We start from the raw sequence: 27,954 nt of genomic DNA, 5'->3' as shown, positions 1-27,954 counted from the left end.
GGTTAAAAGAAAACAAAGTCAGATACTCACTGGCCAGACTGGAAATCCTTTTCATTCACAACTGCACAATTGGTTAAAGATAATTCATCTGTAGGACATCTTGCCGCTTGCATGCTCTGTAAGAATCAATGATTAGGAAAATCAAATTAAGTCATGTTCTATTCCCTTAAAGAATATTTTATGCCTTTCTGTCCTCTCTTCATCACTCATTGCTATAATGAACATCTATTATTTTTGACTCCCAGCATCCCTTCCTCTGCATTAAGAGCAAACCCTTCCTTTGGGAAACTGTTCCTTTCCCATTCCATGTGGTTTAGTGAGACTGCCAGTCAGCACACATGCAACCACATCTACTCTATCCCACCCACAGGATTTTATATATGCTGGCGCTAGACCAAAGGCATTCTTCTGCAAGCCAGAGCACCACAAGGAGGAAGATTTTCCACTCTAAAAGGGTAAAACTATCACAGAGACACAGACAAGCTAATAGATAACCTGGAAACACAGATCTGGCAACCAAGTTCTTGAGACCAGTCCTGAACATTAGTTACGAGCCAACAAATTTTTTTTGCTCAAGCTTTTTTGAATTAGCTTTCCATATCTTCCAAAGAATCTTGACTAATAAAAATGCACTGAAGTAAATTCAATAAATTTGGTAAACTTATGTATCAAATTTTATGTATATTATCAAAAGTATATTATGAAATGTTATGCATATTATAAAGAGTATACTATGAAAAAGTATCTTTTTATAAGAGATCCCAGGTGGCTACGAACTGTATCTCCTATAGATTGAGAAAAACCATCTTCCAAATATCTTTCAACAAAAATAATTACAGACTATATTTAAAAAAAAAAAAAACAGCCTTTTTGGTCAATAGCAACTAGCAAAATGTTCCTTTATATAATATATTTAACCAATAACCCTTCCATGATTCCCTAGGGTTTCCTAGTGAGCTATGACAGGTAGTCATAGTCTATGACTGAAGGGTTCATTCTTCAAACCTCAAGCCAAAGCTGATTTTTTTTTTTTTTTTTTTTTGAGATGGAGTCTCACTCTGTCACCCAGGCTGGAGTGCAGTGGCGTGATCTCGGCTCACTGCAAGCTCCGCCTCCCGGGTTCATGTCATTCTCCTGCCTCAGCCTCCTGAGTAGCTGGGACTACAGGTGCCCGCCACCATACCCAGCTAATTTTTTGTATTTTTAGTAGAGTCAGGGTTTCACCGTGTTAGCCAGGATGGTCTTGATCTCCTGACCTCACGATCCGCCCACCTTGGCCTCCCAAAGTGCTGGGATTACAGGCATGAACCACTGCACCTGGCCAGGACGATTATTCTTAAATGTGTCTCCCAAATATAAATTTATAGAGGAAAGTGAATTATTTTTGGCTTTGCTTTTATTTTAACTAAAAGGCCAGTTTCAATATCATTATCCCTGTTGTTTAGGGCATTAGTCTCCAAAGTGGGATATGTGTACTTGAAGGGTGTTTGTATTATACGATAATCCTTTGGGGTATAAAAATAAAATATTAGTACTGGTATTTATATTGACTTTACACAATTTCTTATTTATGTGTTGTTTTGTTTTTTGACACAGTCTCTCTCTGTTGCCCAGGCTGGAGTGCAATGGTGGATCTCAGCTCACTGCAATCTCTGCCTCCCTGGTTCAAGCGATTCTCATGCCTCAGCATCCCAAGTAGCTGGGTTACAGGCATGCTCCAGCTAATTTTTGAATTTTTGGTAGAGTCGGGGGTTTCATCACGTTGCCCAGGCTGGTCTCGAACTCCTGAGCTCAGGCAATCCGCCCGCCTCGGCCTCCCAAAGTGCTAGGATTACAGGCGTGAGCCACTGCGTCCAGCCACACCATTTATTTATCTATTTATTTATTTATTTTAATTTGTTTGAGACAGAGTCTCACTCTGTCACCCAGGCTGGACTGCCCTGGTGCGATATCGGCTTACTGCAAGCTCCGCCTCCCGGGTTCACGCCATTCTCCTGCCTCAGCCTCCCAAGTAGCTGGGACTACAGGTACCCACCACCACGCCTGGCTAATTTTTTTGTATTTTCATCAGAGACAGGGTTTCACCGTGTTAGCCAGGCTGGTCTCGATCTCCTGACCTTGTGATCCACCCACCTCGGTCTCCCAAAGTGCTGAGATTACAGGTGTGAGCCACTGCACCCAGCCCATTTTTTATTAAAGATGAACCTCACTCTACATGTCTACTCTACCTTAAGATATAATCTGATGGCACGAACAAAGTCCTCATAATCCACCAGGCTTTTAAGTGTTCACTGCAAGAGTTAAACGTCTATAATTTTTCCACCTATGTCTAAAGTCACAGGCTATTTAATGTGACACTTCACAAAATTGTACGAAAGTTAGTGTCGAAACTGCTAAGGTTTCCCTAAAAAAAGCCAAGGACCATAGCTGAAATTATACACAGAAATAAAAATGGTGACAAACTAAATGTATTCTTTTATTGGTAAGTATAGTCAAAAGCTCTTAGAAAACCCTAAAGACTTGAAGATATCAGGACAAATACAGTGTGTGGGGTTTGCTATACAATTGGATAAAAATACAGATGATTCTTTCATCTTAGGGTATTTGCTGGGTAATTATGAAATATACAGGAAATACAACTTTGTAAGATACCAAGGAACAATGTATTAAAAGGGAGGTATTCTTAACTGTAAATGAAACAAGGTGCTTTATGGGAAAACTGTAACCACTGATGAAATGACTGCTTTGACTGGAATTTTAAAAAAGAATTCTGGCCAGCTGCGGTGGCTCACACCTGTAATCCCAGCACTTTGGGAGGCCGAGGTGGGTGGATCATGAGGTCAGGAGATCGAGACCATGCTGGCTAACACGGTGAAGCCCCGTCTCTACTAAAAAATAACAAAAAATTAGCCAGGCGTTGTGGCGGGCACCTGTAGTCCCAGCTACTTGGGAGGCTGAGGCAGGAGAAAGGCGTGAGCCCGGGAGGCGGAGCTTGCAGTGAGCTGAGATCGTGTCACTGTACTCCAGTCTGGGCAACAGAGCGAGACCCTATCTCAAAAAAAAAAAAATTCCAGAACAAAGTTACAGTGATAGCATCTGATACAAAAGCCTTTAACGGCTTCATTCACAGGTAAACTATTGCTGCAATTAAGTCAGAACAAGGTACCTCAGATGTCACTGAGGTTAACTGTATGAATATAGAATCTTCCTATACTCTGGGAGATAGAGAGTAGCCACTGAATTTTTTTTTTTTTTTTTTTTTGAGAGATAGTCTTGCTCTGTCGCCCAGAATTGAATGCAGTGGCGCATTCTCAGCTCAGAGTAGCTGGGACTACAGTTGTGTACCACCACTTCTGACTAATTTTTGTATTTTTAGTAGAGATGGGGTTTCACCATGTTGGCCAGGCTGGTCTCAAACTCCTGGCCTCAAGTGATCCACCTGCCTTGGCCTCATAATCTTTTTTTTGTTTTTAAATCCACACAGATTCACTAGTTACCACAAGAAATGTATTTAAAAGATTTGTTAAATGTAGATGAGTTACACAATTTTTTTAAAATAAAAAGACTAGAGTTCCAAACTTGCTAAATATTTCTGAGGAGGTTATAAGTAGTATGCTACCAAGAAGATATTAAAAAAACAAAAAAACTCACTCTGCCCCTACAAAATAAAAATGTTTAGCAACATGTCAGAATTATTTTCAGCTTTTCCAGAAAAAAGAAAAAGAGAAAAAAATCGGCCGGGTGCAGTGGCTCACGCCTGTAATCCCAGCACTCTGGGAGAATGAGGCAGGCGGATCACCTAAGGTCAGGAGTTTGAGACTAGCCTGGCCAACATGGTGAAACCCCATCTCTACTTAAAATACAAAAATTAGCCGGGCGTGGTGGCGGGCACCTGTAATCCCAGCTACTCGGGAGGCTGAGGCAGGAGAATCGCTTGAACCCAGTAGGCGGAGGTTACAGTGAGCCAAGATGGCACCATTGTACTCCAGCCTTGGGGACAAGAGAGAGGCTTCATCTTTAAAAAAAAAAAAAAAAAAAAAAAAAGAGAGCGAGAGAAAAAAAAATCTTTCCTAATAGAGCATTTCAAAATTGGATAATTGGAAACATTTCCATTGCTAAGTTATTCTGCTGTTGAAACAATATATACAAAATCTAAAAAATAAAGACACCAAAAACTCGTATCTTCATGCTTTATAAAGTCAGAAACAGAATATTCTAAAACTTTTTAAAATATCTTCCAAATGAAGACTTAACAGTGATTTTTGGAACCCATTTATTAACACAATAAAAGTATAATATATTTTTATTAATCTGCAAGAAAAACTAATAGATGGATATTTACCAGCCACATTTCAATAAAGCATTTCCATAAATAGTGAATAAGTTTGGAGAAAGAAAGAATATGATTTAGAAAGTGCAGCCAAATTCTTCCATTTTGATCCAGGCTTTGACTGCCATTAAAGTATCAAAATAAACTGAATTTAGAAACAGCCCTCTGAGCAGCTGTATCACATAATATTAAACGAAGATTTTAAATAATGATGTACCACTTTACTTTCTGGGTTTTTTTTTTTTTTTTTTTTTTTTTTAGATGGAGTCTTGCTCTGTCGCCCAGGATGGAGTACAGTGGCATGATCTCGGCTCATTGTAACCTCCGCCTCCCGGGTTCAAGCAATTCTCCTGCCTTACCCTCCCGAGTAGCTGGGATTACGGGCGTGTGCCACCATGCCCAGCTAATTTTTGTATTTTTTAGTAGAGATGGGATTTCGCTATATTGGTCAGGCTTGTCTCAAACTCCTGACCTCAAGTGATCTGCCTCCCTCAGCCTCCCAAAGTGCTGGGATTACAGGCGTGAGCCACTGCACCCAGCCTACTTTCCGTATTTTCAGTAAAATTAACACTGTGAGAATATTGTACATGCCATCTTTAGCTCATCCTTTTAATTTTTTTTGTTTTCTATACATGTTCTACTGCGTATATAACTTTTAGTACTACATATCATCTATAAACAAATATTGGCATATAATCAATATATGAGGATACATAATCAAAACATTTTTTACTTATGAGATTCATGATCAAATGTTTGGAAATCACTAATTTAGCACAAGATGAATAAAGTCTAGGTCACAAGTCTCCTTTGTGAATGAGACAGCATTTATGTGTTCAACAAATGCTGACAGCATTTTGCCCAGTCACAGCTTGATCAGCCATATGACAGAAATGTACTGAACTTTTTCAGTTTCCCACTTTCCCAGGGTCATTTTCACCTGCAAGCTTCTTTCTTTTATATAATCTCCGCCACTAACCCCTGTTCCATCCCTGGACAACTCCCACTCATTCTACAATTCTCCACTTAGACACTACTTTTTCTGGAAGGCATTCCTAGACACCTACCCCTCCCCACTAAACTGATGAAATAAACTTCAAATGGAAGGACTCAACTATAATTTTATTCTGTCTACATGTTTGCACTGCATATAAGACACTAAACTTCTCAAAGACTGAGACTATATCTTGCTCACATATGTAGTTCCCAGTGTTAGTACAGGGCCTAGTACACAGTGAATACTCATTAAATGTTTGTTGAACACAAAAATTTATAGATCAATAAAAATCTGTCTCAACTGCAGAATAAACAATCCAAAGAACATGTAACAAAGGACTGATCGTCTCAAGGTTATTTAGGAAGTGATAAAATTGAGCTAAAATGATCTGATAGTTCAAAATATACAGAACGATATAGCTAAAGTAATAAAATAAATTTACAAAATGCTGTTAACTCTTTCATTTATAAACTTGTTTATTTGTCAAGTGTCCTTCAAAAGGAGTGAAAAAATCCACAGAAGTCATCTGGCTGGCCAACCAAAACAGATGCTGTGAACAAAAGGCCTCCCTACTGGAATCCAGAAACATCTGTGTTTTTATGGTAAGCCAGGCATGGTATCTCATTTTTTCAACGAAGTATAAGTCTCTATAAATAGTAGCTGTCTACTCACCACAGCAATGCCAAGGGAAAATTCCACAATTTTTCTAACATTGACCTTGCCCCTAGGAAACAATAATGAAAGCCAACCACTACAGTCATGCAGTTATTAAGAAATGAAAGTACAGGCTAGGTGCGGTGGCTCACGCCTATAATCTCAGCACTTTGGGAGGCCAAGGTGGGAGGACTGCCTGAGCTCAGGAGTTCAAGACCAGCATGGGCAACATGGTGAAACCCCATCTCTACTAAAATACAAAAAATTAGCCGGGTGTGGCGGTGTGTGCCTGTAGTCCCAGCTACTCGGGAGGCTAAGGCAGAATTGCTTGAACCCAGGAGGCGGAGGTTGCAGTGAGCTGAGATTGTAGATGACCAGCTGGAACAGCCACCCTTGTTGGACACTGTTTGATTCAGCTTTTTATTAATATGCAGTTCTGAGATGGCATCCTTATGCACACGCCCACATATTTCCTTAGGTCAGGTCTATAGATGTGGAAGCCAGGTCCCACGCGTTGGGTATGGCTGTCACCCTGAAGATACCGCAGATCGCCAACATCACATTCCCCAGCCCCCATCTAGTGGCCTCCAGTGGCCCATCTACTGGGCCAGCAGGGGCCAGGAAAGGAGAAGAGGGAGACCAGTGGGGCTGAAGGCACTGGTGCGTCTGTGCAAGAGGAGGAAGCCCTGTGAGAGGGCAGCAGCCTCCGGACTGGTACAAGCGATTCTCCTGCCTCAGCCTTCCGAGTAGCTGGGATTACAGCAAAAAATAAAATTATTTGCTTATCTTCATCAAAGAAACTGGGGTGATTTAATCAGGACTCTTCTGGACAACACTGCACAGTTTTGGAATTTAAATCACATACTTTCATCCAAACGTCCACTTTAAAAACTGGATTAAAGTACGCTTTACTATTTACTAAATAATTTAATAGGGCAAAATAAACAGAAAGAAAAATAGTGTGGCATCTGACCAAAAGAGCTCATTACCAAACAGCTTCCCCTACCTGAACTGTCACCCTTATGAATCCACTGGTTCTTCTTCTGTGGTGCTCTAGGCTTTGGTTTCATTTCTCCCACAGGAAAGGGAAGGACTGAAAACACAAACCTGCCCCAGGGCCAGCTCAGCTAACAGGTCTCACTCAACTACTTCTTGCTAGAGGATCTTTCCTGAAAAATAACATTTCAGAACTACACTGTTCGGTAATCACTAGACATATTTCACTATTCAAATTAATTTAAAGTTAAATTCAATTCTTCAGTTGAACTAGCCCTACGTTTCAAAAGCCACCTGTGGCTAGTGGTTATCACTGCAGAAAGTTTCATCGGATAGCACTAGCCTAGAATAATGCAAGAAAGGCCATCAGTACTAATCTTCAGGCCTATGGAATCCCTCTGTGCTACATATTCCTATAATAATAATTTCTGTTAAAATTCTGAAGTCACATGTGACTAGAAGTGATGGGGTAGAAATAAGTTAAACTTATATGTCCTATAGTTATCTCTTGAAAAGCCTTTAGGGATATCCTTGACATTATCTATCTCAAACTAATAACTGTTCACATAGATGAACCTCCTGCCTGGCATCCCTTAGAACTTTAAAATTCCTTTACAAGTTTATAATGAAAAGAAAAACAATTCCCATTTTGGTCTTTTGGGGGGAAAAGCATGCACAGAAAAATATAAAAGGCTGACAACTTTCAATATCGGCAAAGATGCAATGCAGTTTCTACAAAGTTAATGTGACCCAACAAGTGCACCCCTAGGTTTTTAGTCAAAAGAAATGAAAATATATCCACACAAAGACTCGCACACAAATGATCACAACAGCTGTACTCATAATAGCCTAAAAATGGAAACAACATGAATGTCTACCAAAAGATGAATGAATGAAGAAATTATAGGAGAGCCATACAATTGACTACTACTCAGAAATTAAAAAGAAACTAGTCCAGGTGCAGTGGCTCATGCCTGTAATCCCAACACTTTGGGAGGCCGAGGCAGGGGGATCGCCTGAGCCCAGGAGTTCCAGACCAGCCTGGGCAACATGGTGAAACCCTGTCTCTACAAAAGATACAGAAATTAGCCAGGCGTGGTGGTACATGCCGGTAGTCCCAACTACTTGGGAGGCTGAGGTGGGAGGACTGCTTGAGCCCAGGAGTATGAGGCTGCAGTGAGCTATGATCACACCACTGCACCCCAGCCTGGGCAACAAAGCAAGACCCTGTCTCTACAAAAAAATAAAAACTAAACTTAAAAAAAAGATACACACTAAACTGTTAACAGTGGTTACCACCAAGGAGAAAGACAAGAAAATGTCTTTACAATTCTGAACTCTTTACAATTCTGTAAAACTCTTTACAATTCTGAACTGCTGGAACTGTTTTTACAATAAATAAACTTTGTCTCACAAAAATCACTTTAAATATAGAAAACTTTTATGTGTAATTTTTTCCCTACAGCATTATTTTAACAGTGATGAATTAGGAGTAACCTAAAGGTCTTGTTTCAAAGTAATGGTTCTGTAAACTACAACGTACCCGCACTTGATTATATATATCATATCATATAAGGATCAAAATCCTCATAACACACTAAGGTAGGGTTCATATCACAGAATTGTATACAGAACTTTTACTTTACAGCATTTTTTTTTTTTTTGTGAGGCAAGGTCTGGCTTTATCACCCAGGCTGGAGTGCAGTGGCGCCATCTCAGCACACTGCAACCTTTGCTTCCCTGGCTCAAGCCATCTTCCCACCTCAGTCTCCCAAGTAGCTGAGGCTACAGGCAAGCACCACCACACCAGGCTAATTTTTGTATTTTTTGTAGAGATGGGGTTTCATCAGATTGGCCAGGCTGGTCTCGAACTCCTGACCTCAAGTGATCTGCCTGCTTCAGACTACAAGTGTGAGCCACCACGCTCAGCCTTAAAGCATTATTTTTAAAAAAGTATGGCAAACCAACTAAATGGAAACACACCAAAATGTGAAAAACAACTGACTGGATAACGAAACTATGGGTGATTTCCAGCTTTCCACACTGATTTTAAACCTCATATATGAAGTTTTCAGGTGTATCTGGTTCTATTTCTGGGTTGGTTGTTCTACTTCATTAACTATTTGTCTGCTTTCTATACTAATACCACATTGTTTTAATTACCATATATGGCATATTTTGATGTCTAGTTTTGTCAGATTCGTATCAAAAAATTAATATTCTTAACTTCACAGAAGCATCTCAGGACATGCATCTCAAATGTTTAAAGAGGCAGAAGGCTCCCTACCGTCGTTTTTTTTTGTTTTTTGTTTTCTCTTTTTTGAGATGGAGTCTCACTCTGTCACCCATGCTGGAGTTAGTGCAGTGGCTCGATCTTGGCTCACTGCAACCTCCACCTCCCAGGTTCAAACAATTCTCCTGCCTCAGCCTCCCAAATAGCTGGGATTACAGGCAACCACCACCACACCCGGCTAATTTTTGTATTTTTTGTAGAGACAGGTTTCACCATGTTGGCCAGGCTGATCTCGAATTCCTGACCTCAAGTGATCCACCCACCTCAGCCTCCCAAAGTGCTGGGATTACAGGCATGAGCCACTGCACCCGGCTATCCCATCACTTAATCCCACCCTGCCAATCTTTGCTCTCTTGAATCTTGGCACACTGCCAGTAAGCCTCTCATGGGTCACTTAAAAAGCAAAAATCCCATAATTCTACTTTATTTTAATTCTACTCTGTAGTTCTTTTAACTCATTTCAAACTAGCACCCTTTTCTCTCTTCTCTTTATTACCAAATCTCTCAAGTCTCCCTTCCTTGCCTTCCATGTTCTCATCCTATGGCTATCTTCTTCAACCATTCTTTGAAATCCTTTCCAGCAGCCACTTTACTGTAACTGCTGTCTTCAAAATCACCAATGACTAAATGCCAAATTCAGTGGTACCTCCTTCTCCTCAGTATTCACTTTTTCATTTGTTTGTCTTGCTATGTTCCTCATCTGTTAATACCATCATTATCCTTTCAAGTCATTAAATTCAAGATTTCAGGGTCATTCTTCCCTTCACTGCCTATCCCTGGAATGCACACATAAACAATCAAGAGTCTACTAAGTCTACTGCACTGTCACTTGGATGTGCCTCCCTTCCAGCCTCACAACCATAACCTAGTTCAGCCATATCACCTCTCCTAAAAAACTACAATGGTAATAATTGTTGTCCCTGGTTCTAGCTTTTGTTCTCCTCCAATTCAGCCTTCCCTCTGCCACCAGACATGACCTGAAACCAAAAATATGATTCATAAGTAATAAAGCCCAAACTCCTTAGCATGCTACTCACAGCCACCTATGCAAGATCTATCTTTAACTTATTTTTCTGCGTCATCTACCTCAATACCCCACCCCAACCCCATGTACCCCACATTCCAAACTCCATTCCTTCACTCACACTATTCCTTTTGACTGAATTCCCTATTTCAAACCCCTTCCACCTGTGAAAATCTTTCCCACCTTGCAAAGCCAAGTTTGTGAAACTCCCTGGTTCCTAGTAAGATAGAATATCTCCTTTATTTGTGCTTCTTCAGCAGTCTTAGTACTACTTATTACAAGCTGCCTTACACTAGACTTATTTAAGTACCATGCCTTCCTCACAAGATTCTAAGCTCTGATTCTCCTGCACCACTCAGGGAATATACAGTATGATAAATATTAATTGAGTTCTCATTGCCGTTTTTGAGATTTTTTTTTTTTTTTTTTTAAAGACAGAGTCTCGTTCTGTCGCCCAGGCTGGAGTGCAGTGGCATGATCTCGGCTTGCTTTAACCTCTGCCTCCCGGGTTCAAGCAATTCTCCTGCCTCAGCCTCCTGAGTAGTTGGGACTACAGGCATGTGCCACCATGCCTGGCTAATTTTTTGTATTTTTAGTAGAGACGGGGTTTCACCATGTTAGCCAGGATGGTCTCCATCTCCTGACCTCGTGATCCGCCCACCTCTGCCTCCCAAAATGCTGGGATTACAGGTGTGAACCACCACGCCCAGCTGATATATTTCACATAAAATTAATCATTTAAAATGTATACTTGGGTGGTTTTTGTTTTTTGGAGGGTTTTGTTTTGAGAGACAGGGTCATGCTCTATCACTCAGGCTGGATCACAGTGGCACAATCACAGCTCACTGTAACCTCAAATTCACAGGCTCAAGTGATCTTCCCACCTCAGCCTCCAAAGTAGCTGGGACTACAGGCACACACCACCATACCCAGGTAATTAAAACAATTTTTTTTTTTTTTTGTAGAAACAAGGTCTTGCTGTGTTGCCCAGGCTGGTCTTGACCTCTTGGCCTCAAGTAATCTTCCCGCCTCAGTCTCCCAAAGTGTTGGGGTTATAGGCATGAGCCACTGCACCCAGCCTTTGAGTGGTTTTTAGTATATTTACTATGTTGTACAACCATAATCACTATCTAATTCCAGAACAGTCCCATCACCCCAAAAAGAAACTCTGTCCCTACTAGCCGTTAATCTCAATTCATCCCTTCTCTCACTCCTTCTCAACCACTAATCTACTTTCTGTCTCTATGAATTTGCTTATTGTGGACATTTCACGTAAGCAGAATCATACAATTCGTCATCTTGGTGACTGGATTTTCACCTAGCATAATGTTTCCAAGGTTCATGTTGTGGCACGTAATAGTATTTCATTCTTTTTATTTATTTATTTTGTAGAGACTGGGTCTATGTTGCCCAGGCCAATCTTGAACTCCTGGCCTTAAGCAATCCTCCCATCGTGGCCTCCTAAAGCAATGGGATTACAGTTGTGAGCTACTGCACCTGGCTTCTTCATTCCTTTTTACAGCTGGATAAGATTTCATTGTATGGATATACCACATTGTATTTATCATTTCATCAGCTGATGGACATTTGGGTTGCTTCCACTTTTTGGCAACTATGAATAATGCCACATGTTAATGTATGTACAAGTTAATGTATGAACATATGTTTTCAATTATCTTGGGTCTATACCCAGGAGTAGAATTGCTGAGTTATTCTATGTTTAGTTTTTTAAGGAACTGCAAAACTTTTGTGCAGTAGCTGCATCATTTTACATTCCCATCAGCAATGAGGGCTCCAATTTCTCTACTTCCTTATCAAAACTTGTTACTGTCTTTAAAAAAAAAAAAAAAAAAAGTATGACCATCCTAGAGGGTGTAAAGTGTTATCTCTCATTGTGGTTTTGATTTGTAATTCCCTATGGACTATGATGTTGAAGATCTTGTCATGTGCTTATAGGTCATTTGTACATCTTCTTTGGAGAAATGTCTATTCTATTCAAATGCTTTGCCCATTTTTAAATTCCATTGTCTTATCTTTGTTGAGTTGAAAGGGTTCTTTGCATATTCTGGATATAAACAACATATATATAAAATATATATACTTATCAGAGATATAATTTGCAAATATTTTCCCCCATTCTGTGAGTTGTCTTCATTCTACAGTGTCCTTTGATGCATGAAAGTTTTTAACTTTAACAAAGTCCAGTTTATCTACCTTTTTCTTTCACTGCTTGTGTTTTTGTGTTATATCTTTAAAAATCACCATTTAATCCAAGGTCATACAGATTTTCACCTATGTTTCCTTCGAAGAACTTAACAGGTTTAGGTCTTTGATCCATTCTGAGTTAATTTTCATATGTGATGTGAGGCAGGGATCCAAATTTATTTTTTTACATGTAGATATCCAGTTGCCCCAGCAACATTTGTTGAAAAGATTATTCTTTCCCCAGTTAATGATCTTGGCGCCCTGGTCAAAATCAACTGACCATAAATGTATGGGTTTATTTCTGGACTCTAAATTGCATTCCATTGGTTTACAAGACTCTCCTCATGCCAGTGACATGCCATCTGGATTACTGTAGTTTTGTAATAAGTTTTGAAATCAGGAAGTATGAGTCCTACAATTTTGTTCTCTTTTTTTCAAGACTGTTGTGGCAAATATGGCTCTGCAATTCCATATGAATTATAAGATCAGGTTGTCCATTTCCGGGAAAAAGGCAGTTGAACTGTGATAGTGATTGCATTAAACCTGTAGATAAATCTGGGTAGCACTGTCATCTTAACAATATTAAGTCTTCCAAGCCATGAACACAGGACGTCTTTCAATTTATTTAGATCTCTAATTTCCTTCAACATGTTTTCTGTTTTTTAGTGTACTTTTTAGTGTACTTCTTTGGTTAACTTTATTCATAAGTATTTTATTCTTTCTGATGTTATTATAAATGGAATTTTTTCTATTTCATTTTCAGATTATCCATAGCTAGCATATAGGAATGCAACTGATTTTTAGATAATAATCTTGTATCCTGCAACTTTGCTGAACTCATTTATTAGTTCCAATTTTTTTTGGTAAATTCTGTAGGATTTTTCTACATGTAAGATCATGTCATCGGTAAATATAGTTTTATTTCTTTCTGATATAAATGTCTTTTCTTTTTCCTGCTTAACTGCCCCACCTAGAACCACCAATAGAGTGTTGAATAGGAGTGGCAAGAGCATCCTTGTCTTGTTCTGATCTTAAGGGGGAAAGCTTTCAGTCTTCAACCATTAAGTATGATGTTAGCTGTGAGTTTTCCTGTTAGTTGGATTTTGTTTGTTGAACTGAATTTTGACAGTGCCAACTCATAAGGTTGTGCTGAGAATCTAATAAGAAAAGATCTGTGAAGGTGTTTTTAAAACTGTAAAATATCGTTTAATTTCAAGATCGTCTTATTCAGTGACTTGGTACTCTTACTCTAAAAAGTTTCAGAGTAATGTTGTTAAATGAATCAAAATGTTTCTGAAGCTTTTTTAATTCCCAACATCCTGACAAAGCTTTTGCACTTATGTTGTTTTGAAAGGGGAAGAAAAAGGGAAAACTCTTTGGAGAAGGAATCAGAACAAGGATCCAAGGCCTAGAGCCTCTCCCCTGTCCCAACAAGGGAATGCCAGCCCAGTAAGACTCAGGATGTTCAGGAAAGCAGAAAGGAGAAATGCAAAAATGGGCAAGAGGCAGCATGGTATGGAGGAACGAACACGGGATTTAATGGAAAAAGACAGCTGAGATTCCAGTTGTTCAGAAACAACTGAAGAAAACAGTGAGGCTGGGTGCGGTGGCTGAAAACTATAATCTCAACACTTTGGGAGGCCAAGGAGGGAGAATCATTTGAGGCCAGGAGTTCAAGACCAGCCTGGGCAATATAGTGAGACCCAAACTCTACAAAAAGAAAGGAAGAAAGGAAGAGAGAGAGAGAGAGAGAGAGAGAGAAAGAGAGAAAAGAAAGAAAGAAGGAAAGAAAGGAAAGAAAGAAAGAAAGAAAGAAAGAGAGAGAGAGAGAGAAAGAAAGAAAGAAAGAAAGAGAGAAAGAAAGAAAATAAATTAGCCTGGCTTGGTGGCACAAATCAGTAATCCCCGTTATTCAGGGGGCTGAGGTGAGAGGTTTGAGCCCAGGAGGTCAAGGCTACAGGGAGCCCTGATCACGCCACTGCATTCCAGACTGGGTGACAAAGTGATACCCTATCTCAAAAAAAAAAAAAAAAGAAACAGTGAGACACCCGAGAATATTAGAAGATCTAGTAAACTGCACATCTTCAATGCTGCATGATCTTACGGACTTACATCCGTAAGGCCACACTATACTTATCTAAATTGTTGATACTACTTTTAGTCATTATAACACAGCATGCTAATAATTTATGATGTGTCCTTAATATTGAGAGGTTTCTCATTTAATAAATTCAGCTTACTAATAAATATAAACATAATAGTATTTACATATTTTATTATTTAGAAACAACTGAGTAGAAATCATATTTACAAATAATTGAATCAAAAACTGGCTGTTGGAAAGCAAAAAGAAATTACTAGCCTACTTCTTTTCCATAGAACAAATATTTAATAAATATCTATAATGTCCCAGGCACTGTGCTAGGTGCAGGAGATGCTCAAATTAACAACAAAGCAGTGACTACTTTTTATATTTTTTGGACACTGAACAGGAATAAAATATGTATAAAACACAGGCAACACATAAAACACCATAAACCTACTACCCAGTTTAAGAAAAAGAACATTATTTAAATCAAGTTTTTATTGAAGAAGAACATATATACACAAAAATGCATACATTGTACGTGTTTGGCTCAATGAATTTCTACAAGTGAACACACCCAGGGTAACCAACAGTTAGGTCAAGAGGACATTACCAGCATCCCATACTGCCCGCTCCTAGTCACTATCCTTCTACTCAACCACAGATACCCACTAGCTTAATTTCTGTCATCAGAGATAGAAATCATGAATAGAAATATATTCACTCCTCCCACCCCCAGGACTATAAGTGCTGGGTCATGGGCATCATGCCTACATTCAGTTTTAGGGAATTCTGCTAGTTTTCCAAAGAGGTTGTGCTCATGCATTTTCATCAGTTCCAGCTGCTGCACATCCTCATCACCACTTAGAATTGTCATGACAGGCCAGGTGCGCGGGCTCATGCCTGTAATCCCAGCACTTTGGGAGGCCAAGGCAGGTGGATCGCTTGAGATCAGGAGTTCAAGACTAGCCTGGCCAACATGGCAAAACCCCATCTCTACTAAAATACAAAAATTAGCCAGGCGTGGTGGTGGGTGCCCATAATCCCAGCTACTCGGGAGGATGAGGCAGGAGAATCACTTGAACCCAGGAGGCAGAGGTTGCAACAAGCTGGGATTATGCCACTGCACTCCAGCCTGGGCGACAAGAGCAAGACTCCATCTCAAAAAACAAAACAAAATCAAACCCAGAATTGTCATGACAAATGTGTTCTTAATTTAACTTTCTGGTGGGTGTGTAGTAATATCTCCCTGAGGTTTTAACTTGTATTTCTCTGATGACTAATGAGGTTGAGCATTTAACATACGTTACAGGTAAGTTCTTTGTGAAATCCCTGTTTGAATCCTTTGTTCATTTTTCCATTGGCTTTCTGTCCTTTCTTTTTATTCTTGATTTGTAGTTCTTTATATATTCCAGGTACAAGTCCTTGTCAAATACATGTATTTCTTTTTTTCTTTTCTTTTTTTGAGACAGAGTCTTGCTCTGTCGCCCAGGCTGGAGTGCAGTGACGCAATCTCGGCTCACTGCAAGCTCCGCCTCCTGGGTTCACACCATTCTCCTGCCTCAGCCTCCCAAGTAGCTAGGACTACAGGCACCCGCCACCACGCCTGGCTAATTTTTTGTATTTTTAGTAGAGACGGGGTTTCACTGTGTTAGCCAGGATGGTCTCGATCTCCTGACCTCGTGATCCGCCCAGCTCGGCCTCCCAAAGTGCTGGGATTACAGGTGTGGGCCACCGTGCCTGGCTGTCAAATACATGTATTTCAAATACCTTCTTCCACTCTGGTCTTTCTCCTCAATGGTGTCTACTATGGAGTGAAATGTGCACTCCCCACTGCCCCCAACAAAATTCATTAGTCAAGGCACTTCCCCCACCCCAACTATTTTGGAGATAGGGACTTTGGGAGATAATTGAGGCTAAATTAGGTCATAAGCGAAGGGCCCTAATCTGACAAGACTGTGGCCTTATAAGAAAAGGAAGAGAGATGGTGAGATCTTGCTGTCTCTCCGCCACACAGACACGTGGCAAGAAGCCTGTGTGCAAGTCACGAAGACAGTGCTCACCAAAACGCAGTCATACTGGCACCCCGGTCCCAAACTTCCAGCTTCCAGAACCGTGAGAAAATACATTTATTTTGTTTAAGCCACCAAGTCTATAGTATTGTGTTATGGCAGCCTAAGCAAACTAAGTCAGTGTCTTTTGATGAAATCCAATTAATCACTTTTTTCCTTTGTATCTAGTGCTTTTTATATTCTGTTTAAGAAATCTTCACCTGTCTCCCATGTTTCTGCCTTTTCTTGTCATTAATTTCTAACTTGCCCACATTATGATCAGATATTATTCAGAGATCTGCACCTTGGATGTGGTGTTCAATACTCAATTATTAATATTGTTAATTATATTAAGTCTTCTAAATTAATGCAGTGCAAAAGTACTTTCTGTGCTGTCCAATACAGCAGCCATTGTCACATGTCACTAGTAAGCCCTTGAAAAATGGCTATTGCAACCGAGAAAATGAATTTTTAATTTTAATTTTCAGCTGTAACCATTTTGTCTTTTTAATTTTTCAATTAGGGAGTTTTGAAACTCCTCACCATGGTAGATTTGTCTATTTCATCTTATAATTGTGTCATTTTGTTCTTTGTATATTGAGGCAATTATTAGGTTCACACAAGTTTGGAATTGTTTTTACCTTTATGGATAAATAAACCTTTTCTCATTGTTGAGGGACCTATCTCTAGCTGTCTCTTTTGTCTGAAAGATCATATTGTCTGATGCTAATATAGTTAGTTTACCTCCCTTTTGGTTAGAGTTTGCCTGATAGACTTTTTCCATCCTTTTGCTTTCTATCTTTCTACATTCATATGTATTAGCTATCTCTCTTGAAAATTATAGCTGGATTTTGTGTTGTTTCAGTAAGTTTGTTTGCTTGCTTTTATTTATTTATTTATTTATTTATTTTTGAAACAGAGTCTCACCCTGTTGCCCAGGCTGGAGTACGGTGGCATGATCTTGGCTTACGGCAATCTCCGCCTCCTGGGTTCAAGTGATTCTCCTGCCTCACCTTCCCAAGTACCTGGGATTACAGGTGTGCACCACCACACCCAGCTAATTTTTGTATTAGCTGGCCATGGCCAGCTGGCCGTGTTGGCCAGGGTGGTCTCGAACTCCTGATCTCAAGTGATCCACCCGTCTCAGCCTCTCAAAGTGCTCGGATTACAGGCGTGAGCCACTGCACCCGGCCTGCTTGCTTTTAAATAATCCAATCTGACATTCTTTGTCTGAATGAAGCATTTAGTCTACCATATATTTGATTTGATTTCTATATTTTATTGTTTCCTCTTTATCTGACCTTTTCTATGTTTTTCACTTCTTCCTTGCCTTTTAAAAATTGTTTTTTCTGCTATAAATTATTCCTAATATTTATATTATTTTAGTAGTTACTCTGAAAATACTAATACACATACCTATCAAAATCTAAAGTTAATTGAATAGCTTTACCTTTCTCTTCAACAGTATAAAGATCATAAAATACTTTAACCACTCTTTTGATTTGGATGTTGTTATCATATATTTAGTTCTTTTTTTTTTTTTTGAGACGGAGTTTTGCTCTTGTTGCCCAGGCTGGAGTGCAATGGCGTGATTTCGGCTCACTGCAACCTCTGCCTCCCAGGTTCAAGCAATTCTCCTACCTCAGCCTCCTGAGTAGCTGGGATTACAGGCATGCGCCACCACACCCGGCTAATTTTTTTTTTTTTTTTTTTTTTTTTTTTTTTTTTGTATTTTTAGTAGAGACGAGGTTTCTCCATGTTGGTCAGGCTGATCTCCAACTCATAACCTCAGGTGATCCGCCCACCTCAGCCTCCCAAAGTGCTGGGATTACAGGCGTGAGCCACCACACCTGGCCTATTTAGTTCTATTTTTAAAACCTCCGCATACATCATTTTATAAAGCCAATATTTATTTCAATATATCCACAGATTTACCATTATTCTTTACTCTTCAATCCTTCTTAAATCTCAGACTTTACATCAGTGGTCACTTTTTTTTTTTTTTTTTAGCCTTCAGGAAATTGATCTGAATTTCCACTAGTAGGGAAGGTTTGATGGTTACAACATTGAGTGTTTGTCTGTTTTAAAGTGTCTAATTTTGCCCCCATTCTTCACAAGATATACAATTCTTGGTTGACAATTATTTTCTCTAAGCATATGGAAAATATTACTCCCTGTCTTATGGCTTTCATTATTATAGACAGGAAAACAGCTGACAGCCAAATACTTGTTGAAGGTAATATCTTTTTTCTCTGACAGCTTTTTTTTTTTTTTTGAGATGGAGTTTTGCTCTTGTTGCCCAGGCTGGCATGCAATGGCACGATCTCGGCTCACTGCAACCTCCACCTCCCAGGTTCAAGCAATTCTCCTGCCTCAGCCTCCTGAGTAGCTGGGATTACAGGCATGCACCACCACGCCCGGCTAATTTTGTATTTTCAGTAGAGACAGGGTTTCTCCACGTTGAGGCTGGTCTTGAACTCCTGACCTCAGGTGATCCACCCTCCTCGGGCTCCCAAAGTGCTGGGATTACAGGCGTGAGCCACCATGCCCAGCCTCTGACAGCTTTTAAGACCTCTCTATGGTATCATGTAGTTTCTTTAAAAAATGTTTATGTGTGAATTTTTTTTCTTTTTATCCTTTCTGGGATTCTTTAGCTTCCTAAATTTGTAGGTTGTTTTTCATCAGTTCTCTGTCATTATCTCTTCAAATACTGCCTCTGCCTCATTCTTTTCCATGCCCCTGCTCCCCTGCCCCAGAATTCTGACTAGACTGAACCTTCTTATTCTACCCTCTGTATTCTCTTAACTCTTTTATTACTTTTCATTTTCTTGCCTCTATACTGCAATTTTTTCAGATCCACTTTACTAAATCTTTCTTTAGCTGTGTCTAATCTGTTATTAAATTTGTACACTGGTCATTTTTGTATACTTGCTCCTCATTCCTATTTTAAATTTCTTTTTTTCTATAAGCATATTAAATATATGTACTTATAATCTGTGTCTGCTAACTCCAATATGTGAACTCTTTGCAGGTTCTGATTCTGCTCTTTATTGTTTCTGCTTCCTCTCATTCATTGCATCTTATTTCTTTCTGCATTTTGTGAATGTGAGTTCATATTTCTTACAGCTTTATGTTTAGGAATTTTCTAAATCCTAAGATCAAGATGGGTTCTCCCAAGAAGCTTTGTATTTGCTGCTTTTTAGGCATTCTTAGGCATTTTAAGGCATCGTCACTCTTGTACCACTTTTATATTTAATTACTGGCTTAAGATTTTCATACCATCCAGGTAATATAAAATCAGGATTCAAACCTGCATGAAGGTCAGCTTGTGGGTAAAACTTCTCAGGGAATTTCTGTACCCTTCCCATCACCACCAAAGTTTGAGGCAGGAAATTTTTCTTTCCGATCCTTAGACAAGGTACGTTTATTACTAGTTCTCATTTATTATGATGTATAGACCCTTGGGGTACCATCTTTACCAGGAGAGGTGGGACGTTCTACCAGAAAACTACTTTTATCTTCCGTTCTCTGAGCTTCTTGAGGCACAAGCACAAGTTAACTAGGTTTTCCAAGTAATGTCATTTGCAAATAATGTCCTCAAGGCAGCAGTACTTGGCTTATATCTCTGGGTTTTCACCTTCACATAGTTTTTGGCCTGATTATTCCTTACTTTTCAGCCAGCTATCTCCATGCACATAAGGTTTTTACTTAAAAAATATTTCATCTGCCAGGCACAGTCACTCACACCTGTAATCCCAGCACTTCGAGAGGCCCAGGTGGAAAAACTGCTTGAGCCCAGGAGTTCGAGACCAGTCTGTGCAACAAGGCAAGACCCCATCTGCACAAAAAATAAAAAAATTTGCTGGACATGGTGGTGTGCACCTGTGGCCCCAGCTACTCGGGAGGTTGAGGTGGGAGGATCGCTTGAGCCCAACAGGTCGAGGCTGCAGTCAGCCATGTTCACACTACTGCACTCCGGCCTGTGTGACAGAGCAAGACCCTGTCCTCCCTCCAAAAAAAAATTATCTAGAATTTTAAATTGTTTATCTGGGAAGGTCAGTCAGAGTACCTAATTCACCATACTGCAGCAAAATAGCCATGCTTTCTTAAAAGTTTGAAAATTGGATATAGATGAAGGTATTAATGGGAAGAAGACGATAACCTTGAAACCTATCAGTAACAAGGTTGAGCACATATTTGGAAAGAAATCTGGAAAAAATATCTTCAACAATTTATAAGGAACTAAATTGGAGAGCTCAAAACACTAAGTGAATGCTTCTCAACTTTAACATACATCAGAATCACCTGGAGAATTTATTGAAAGAGAATGCTAAGCCCTACCCCAGGGTTTCTAAATTAGTCAGCCTGAAGTGGGAACTGAGAATTTGCTTTTCTAACAAGTTCTCAGATAATGCTAATTTGCTGGTCTGCAGAACCCACTATCAGAATCACTGTACTAAGAGAAATAAACTTCATAAAAACAGGAACACTGACAGGTTCATTTCATTACCTTCTACAAAAGAAGAGAAGAAATGTGTGGAAATGAGATTTCAATAACACTCTTGGTCCATCTCATCATTTAACTTATAATTAAGTTAATTTGATGACTGATAAGTAGATTTACTGAAAGGCTATGTATACAAAACAGTTATCAGACTCAATATCTGCAGGTGAAGAAAAAGGACTGGAGTGCAGCAGCTGTTTAAAGCTAGATCTATAATACTAATGATTTAAATAATAGAATAAACAACATTATTTAGAGTATTCAATACCTTGGCAGAGAATATCAAAATTCAAACTACAGACATTGTCAGAAGTGATAATTTACTAAGATGTTCAGAAGCAAATGTCTTGTTCAACCATTCAAGAATCATAATATCCCCACACCAGGCTCTATTCTCAGCAATGGGAACTGTCTGCTATGGTTCACAAAATTATATCAATATTATTCTCTAGGAGAAAAATAGTCAGGATAATTAAATTTAAAAATTTGACACAGAGGTTCATTGGAAGACTCAGAATTAGTGATAATTGGTAGTTTCATTGCTTGTCAAAGCAACTACAAAAATATTTGTCAGCACATAACACTAAAAACACTTCACAATTTTTTTTAAAAACCCACCAATGCAGCCCTTAAAGTTTTTATTATGTGGTGATTTTAAAAAGAAATGAATCTTGCATTTCAAAAATGACTTCTTACCTGAAATTAATAATTTTCCCATTTCCTCCTCCACCAAAGATCTATACAGCTAGTGCAAATCCATCAGCACTTTAACATTTCTTTCTGAATTTAGCAAAAGACCAAAATACCCTGCATTACTCATAAACAGCTGATGCTAATTGATTTGGTTTCAAATCTATAGAGCACAAGTTGTGAGAAATTAACACTTTCAGCTTAAAGTCAAAGAAAAGGAGATCAGGTTAATAAAGTTATTGAGCTGAATTTTATTGAAGTGCTCTCTGTGTCTACTCTTATAAAATACAAGAGGAAAAATGTAGGTCAAAAATCCATAGCGGAAGGTTAAAAGTGTCTTTAAAACAAACAAACAAAAAACTGTCTCGTTCTGTTGCCCAGGCTGGAGTGCAGTGGCACGATCTCAACTCACTGCAACCTCCACCTCTTGGGTTCAAGCTGATTCTCATGCCTCAGCCTCCCAAGTAGCTGGAATTACAGGCGTGTGCCACCATGCCCGCTAATTTTTGGTAGAGACAGGGTTTTGCCATGTTGTCCAGGCTGGCCTTGAACTCCTGGCTTCAAGTGATCCACCCGCCTCAGCCTCCCAAAGTGCTAGGATTACAGGTGTGAGCCACCATGCCAGGCCAAAGTGTCTTTTTTTTTTTTTTTAAAGGAGTGGGGATTAAGTTGTTCCCAGAATTCATACGGAAAAGAGCCAAGAAATGCCAAATTAAGAAAGGTAATGAAAGTACGCCCTATGAAATAACAAGAATAATTTTAAAGCTACAGCAATTAAAACAGTGTTATTGATGCAAATATGGACAAAAAGAATTATGAAACGGAATAGAGTCGACACTTAGACCCACACATATATGGGAACTGGATATAATACAGAGATAGCATTGCAAATCAGTAAAGGAAAAAAATGGACTCAATAAATGATATTGAGACAACTGGTTATACATATGGAAAAGATAAAATTAGTTCATAATTCACACCAAACACAAAAATAAATTCCTGATCAATCACCAAAATGTGCAAGGCAAAATTTTAAAACTTTTATAAGAAAATGACTTCAGGGTGGAGAAAGATTTCCTGAAAAACACATAAAAGCACAAATCACCAAGGTAAAAAAAAAAAAAGGGTAATTATAACTATAAAATTTAAATCCAACACTCTATAAACATCATGAAAAGACCATCACTGTCTGAGAGAAGCTATTTACAACAAAGGATTAGAATCCAAAGCATACCCTACCCCCCAAAAAACGAAAAATTATACAAATCACTAAAAAAATACACAGCCCAACAGAAAAAATGAGCAAATATACAAAAGTAATTCACAGAAGGGGAAATCCCAATGACCAATATGAAAAATGCTTAATCTCACTAGTAATGAGGACAACATGCAAATTTAAACAATAGTTTTACACCTATTATATTGTAAAAGTTAAAATGTCAGCAATATTAAGTGTTGGAGAGGATATAAATAACAGGTACTCATATACTGCTAGTGACAGTATAAACTGGCATAACTAGGTAAAGATGAGTATGACTTATCGCCCAGCAATTCTACCTCTGGACACACATGCTAACTCTTACACATATATGCATGGAGACACACACTCATGTGTTGCTTAACAATAGGGATACATTCTGAGAAATGTGTCACTAGGTGATTTCATCGTTATATGAATATCATAGAGCGTACTTACACAAACCTATATGGTATAGCCTATTGCTCCTAGGCTACAAACCTGTACAGCATGTTACAGCACCAAATGCTGTAAGCAACTGTAACATAATGGGTAATTGTGTAACTAAACATATGTAAATATAGAAAGGTAGAGTAAATATATGGCATTATAATCTTTTGGGATCACCTTCCTATCTGCAGTCCCTCACTAACCAAAATATCGCTAATGTGGCAATGGCACTCGACTAAAATAATGTACATTCCGGGAAAAATAAAATTGGAACTGCCTAAATTGTCCTCTAATAAGAAAGTAGATGATTGTGGTATATTCACAAAACAGACTACAGAGTAGCTAAGCAGAATTAATTGGCTCACTATATATCCACAGGACTAAATTTCAAAATTATTTTAAGTGAAAAATGCAGGTTGCAGAAAGAAAGATATAGCATAAAACCATTATATACATTTTAAAGACACACAAAGCAATATATTGTTTTTGAGCATAAACATGCATAGATGTAGACAGAAAGAATCTATACCAACTTCAGGACAGTGATTACTTCTGGGAAAGGTCAGTGGTCTCAAGAAGGGATACTGCCAGGTGTGGTGGCTGCCACCTACAACCACAGCTACTCAGGAGGCTGAGGTGGGAGGATCACTTGAGGCCAGGTGTTGAGACTAACCTGAGCAACACAGAGAGATCCTATCTCTAAAAACTTTTTTTTAATTAGCCAGATGTGGTGGCACACCTCTGCTAGTCCAAGCTACTCAGGAAGCTGAAGCAGGAAGATTGCTCGAGCTCAGGAGTGTGAAGCTGCAGTGAGCTATGACTGCGCCACTGCACTCCAGCCCAGGCCACCAAGTGAGACTCAGCCTCTAAAAAAAATTTTTAAATAAAACTAAAAAAAAAAAAAAAAAGGAGCAATACAAAGAAGAGTCAATTGGATCTGTAATGTTCTATTTTTTATTTATTATTATTATTTTTGAGACTGAGTTTCACTCTTGTGGCCCAGGCTGGAGTTGTGATCTCGCTCACCGCAACCTCTGCCTCCCAGGTTCAAGCGATTCTCCTGCCTCAGCCTCTCGAGTAGCTGGGATTACAGGCATGTGCCACCATGCCCGGCTAATTTTGTATTTTTAGTAGAGACGGGGTTTCTCCATGTCAGCCAGGCTGGTCTCGAACTCCCGACCTCAGGTGATCCACCAGCCTCAGCCTCCCAAAGTGCTGGGATTACAAGTGTGAGCCACCATGCCCAGCTGTAATGTTCTATTTTTAAAAAGATAAATATCTGAAGCAGATATCATATGTTAACATTTCTTAAACCTCAGTGGTAATCACATGGATATATGTTATTCACTGTGCTTGTCATGCTTGAAATCTCTTAAAGTGTGCATGAATTATACTCATTCAAAAATACTTAGGGCTTCCAGAAATGGTTACATCTACAAAAGGAATATTTAGTTTTCACTATAAAAAAAAATAAGTTGGAAATTAGTAGTTTAAATCACTAGGAAACTGAAGTCAGTATAAGGTAGCTCTCAGAGCAATATTAAGGATATCAGTACTAAAATACGAAAGAGTATCTCACTGAGAGATTTTCACTTAAAATACCACAGCCAGAGTATAGATGTTTTAAAAAGCATTACAGCAAGTGCTTAGTGTATTGCCCAATGAAGGTATTTGTAAGGGTTCGCTCTTCTGCCACTGCCAAAATTTTCAATGGTAAGATAATATACTTTACCTTATACTTTTGCACCTTAACTTAACTACTTGAAAAAAAGAGTCATCCTATACATAAATTCCTCTGGGTTTCAGAAAGAAGAAGCTATCTAATGATGCTTTAAAGAATTGTTTTGTTTCCTAAAATTCATTGCATTTGAAGATACTTTTAAAAATATCCACTAAAGCGATACACAAAACTAATAACTACTGCATGTAAGACTGCAGAAAGTTGATATACTTTGGACAAACTTTCATTCAGGAAATGGACTACCAAACACTTTATAGTATTTGTTTTGATTTGTAGTACTGCACATGAGCTATCCACAATTTACAGCTTGAGTTCCAAAGTTTCATCTGAAAGTTTGTTTGGTAATGATGTCATTCACCCACAAAATGTTATAAATGACTAGGTTTCTAAACAAAGGCTACAAAAGCTTCTGATATTGATACTGATACTGAATATTCTGGCCTGCCCTAGTCAAAACACTAGATTCGACAAATTTTACCTCTAACATCTTTCCATACCCCTTTCAACTCCTAAGCAAGTTCTCTCTCGTTGGTTCCTATTTCACATTATCTTACTCCTATCTCTGCCAAACAGATGACCTCGACTAGGTTTAAGGACTTATGAAGAAAGAGATCCACTGGCTTTATTTGCACTAAAGTATGTGTATTTTCAGAAAGGGACTGCTGAATCTCCAGTAAGTGAGATTTCTGGCAATTTTAAAAGATAAGCATACAAAACAGTTCAGGCACTGTGGAAAACTTTTCTTTTTTCTTTTCCAGTAGTGGGAAGGTAGTGGTATCTTCTGATGACCTAGAAACTGTACACTGAATAACATCACACATTTTATTCTTCAGCCAATTTCCCAGATAAACTATATACGGTGCTTCATTGGAAAAAACTTCAATTACATAGTGAATATAAATCCCACTTATAAGATGATGTCAGAATATCAAAAGTAGTAAGAATGCAAAATAAACTGTCCCCCACAAAAAGGAAATATAAAACCCATTAAGAGTATCGCAACAGCCGGGCTCAGTGCCTCACGCCTGTAATCCCAGCACTTTGGTAGGCCAAGGCAGGCAAATCACTTGAGGTCAGGAGTTCGAGACCAGCCTGGCCAACATAGCAAAACCCTGTCTCTACTAAAAATAGAAAAATTAGCTGGGTGTGGTAGCACAGGCCTGTAATCCCAGCTACTAGGGATGCTGAGGCAGGAGAATTGCTTGAACCCAGTGAGTGGAGGTTGCAGTGAGCCAAGATCGCGCCACTGCACTACAGCCTGGGCAACAGAACAAGACTCTGTCTCAAAAAAAAAAAAAAAAAAAAAAAAAAAAGAGTATTGCAACAACAACAAAAACATTTGATAAAATTCAACATCCCTTCATGATTAAAAAAACTCTCAACAAATTAGGCATAGAAGGAATATATCTCAAAATAATAAAGTCTATACACAACAAACCCAGAGCTAACATCATACTGAATGAGGAGAGGTGAGATCTTTCTTCTAAAAGCTGGAATGAGGCAGGGATGCCCATTTTCACCACTCCTATTCACCACAGTACTGGAAATCCTAGCCAGAACAATCAGACAAGAGAAAGAAATGAAAGGCATCCAAACTGGACAAGAGAAAGTCAAATTGTCTCTTTGCTGATTATATATCTGTAGGTTTAGAAAACCTTTAAATCAGTAGCATTTCTATACATCAATAAGGATCTAGCCAAGAAAGAAATTAAGAAGGCAATCCCATTTACAATAGCTACCGAAAACAAACAAAAACCTAGGAATACATTTAACTAAGGAGGTGAAAGATCTCTACAAAGAAAACTACAAAACACCAATGAAAGAAAATAAATCAAAAAACATCCTATGCTTGTGGAAAGAATTAATATCACTAAAATGACCATATTGCCAAAGCAATCTACAGATTCAATGAAATCCCTATCAAAATACCAATGTGATTCATATGGGACCAAAAAAGGAAAAAGAAAAAAGCCCAAACAACCAAACCAAACCTGGGCAAAAAGAACAAAGCTGCAGACATCACATTATCTGACTTCAAAATATATTATAAAGCTATAGTAACCAAAACAGCATGGTATTGGTATAAAAATAGACATGTAGACCAATGGAACAGAATAGAGAATCCAGAAATAAAACCACATAATTATAGACAAATGATCTTCAACAACACTGACAAGAACTCACACTAAGGAAAGGACACTGTCTTCAATAAATGATGCTGGGAAAATTGCATAACTTCATGCAGAAGTGTGAAACTAGACCCCTATCTCTCACCATATACAAAAATCAACTCAAAATGGATTGAAGATTTTAAGACCCAAAACTATAAAAATACTACAAGAAAGTCTAGGGAAAACACTCCTGGACATTGGTGTAAGCAAAGAATTTATGATTAAGACATCAAAAGCCCAGGTAACATAAAGAAAACTAAACAAATGGGACTTAAGCAAACTAAAAAGCTTCTGCACAGCAAAAGAATAATCAACAGAATGAAGAGACAACCTGTTGAATGGGAGAAAATATTTGCAAAGTATTCATCAAGCAGAGGACTGATATCCAGAACATACAAGGAACTCGAACAACTCAAAAGGAAAATAACAAATAATCCCATTAAAAAAGAAGACATACAATGGCCAAAAGAAGACATGGAAAAATGTTCCACACCACTATCAGAGAAATGCACATCAAAACCACAA

General features: G+C 38.7%; 2 protein-coding genes across 3 annotated transcripts in view; both read right to left on the bottom strand.

The window, feature by feature from the left end:
* The window catches only part of LRRC37A2 (leucine rich repeat containing 37 member A2), a 676,337-nt gene that overhangs the window by 424,769 nt on the left and 223,614 nt on the right, over positions 1 to 27,954 (bottom strand). The window lies entirely within an intron of this gene.
* Positions 1 to 27,954, bottom strand: part of NSF (N-ethylmaleimide sensitive factor, vesicle fusing ATPase) — a 166,796-nt gene that overhangs the window by 133,105 nt on the left and 5,737 nt on the right. For both annotated transcript variants that reach the window (NR_040116.2, NM_006178.4), the window contains exon 2: positions 31 to 116. Coding sequence is in view for 1 of the 2 variants with exons in the window: in NM_006178.4 (NP_006169.2) it covers positions 31 to 116 (86 nt within the window). In the remaining variant the exon portion in view is untranslated. The remainder of the gene's footprint in view (positions 1 to 30; positions 117 to 27,954) is intronic.

This window comes from Homo sapiens, chromosome 17 (genome assembly GCF_000001405.40).
Source record: "Homo sapiens chromosome 17, GRCh38.p14 Primary Assembly".
Taxonomy (NCBI): domain Eukaryota; kingdom Metazoa; phylum Chordata; class Mammalia; order Primates; family Hominidae; genus Homo; species Homo sapiens.
This window is presented reverse-complemented; position numbering and strand designations above follow the sequence as displayed.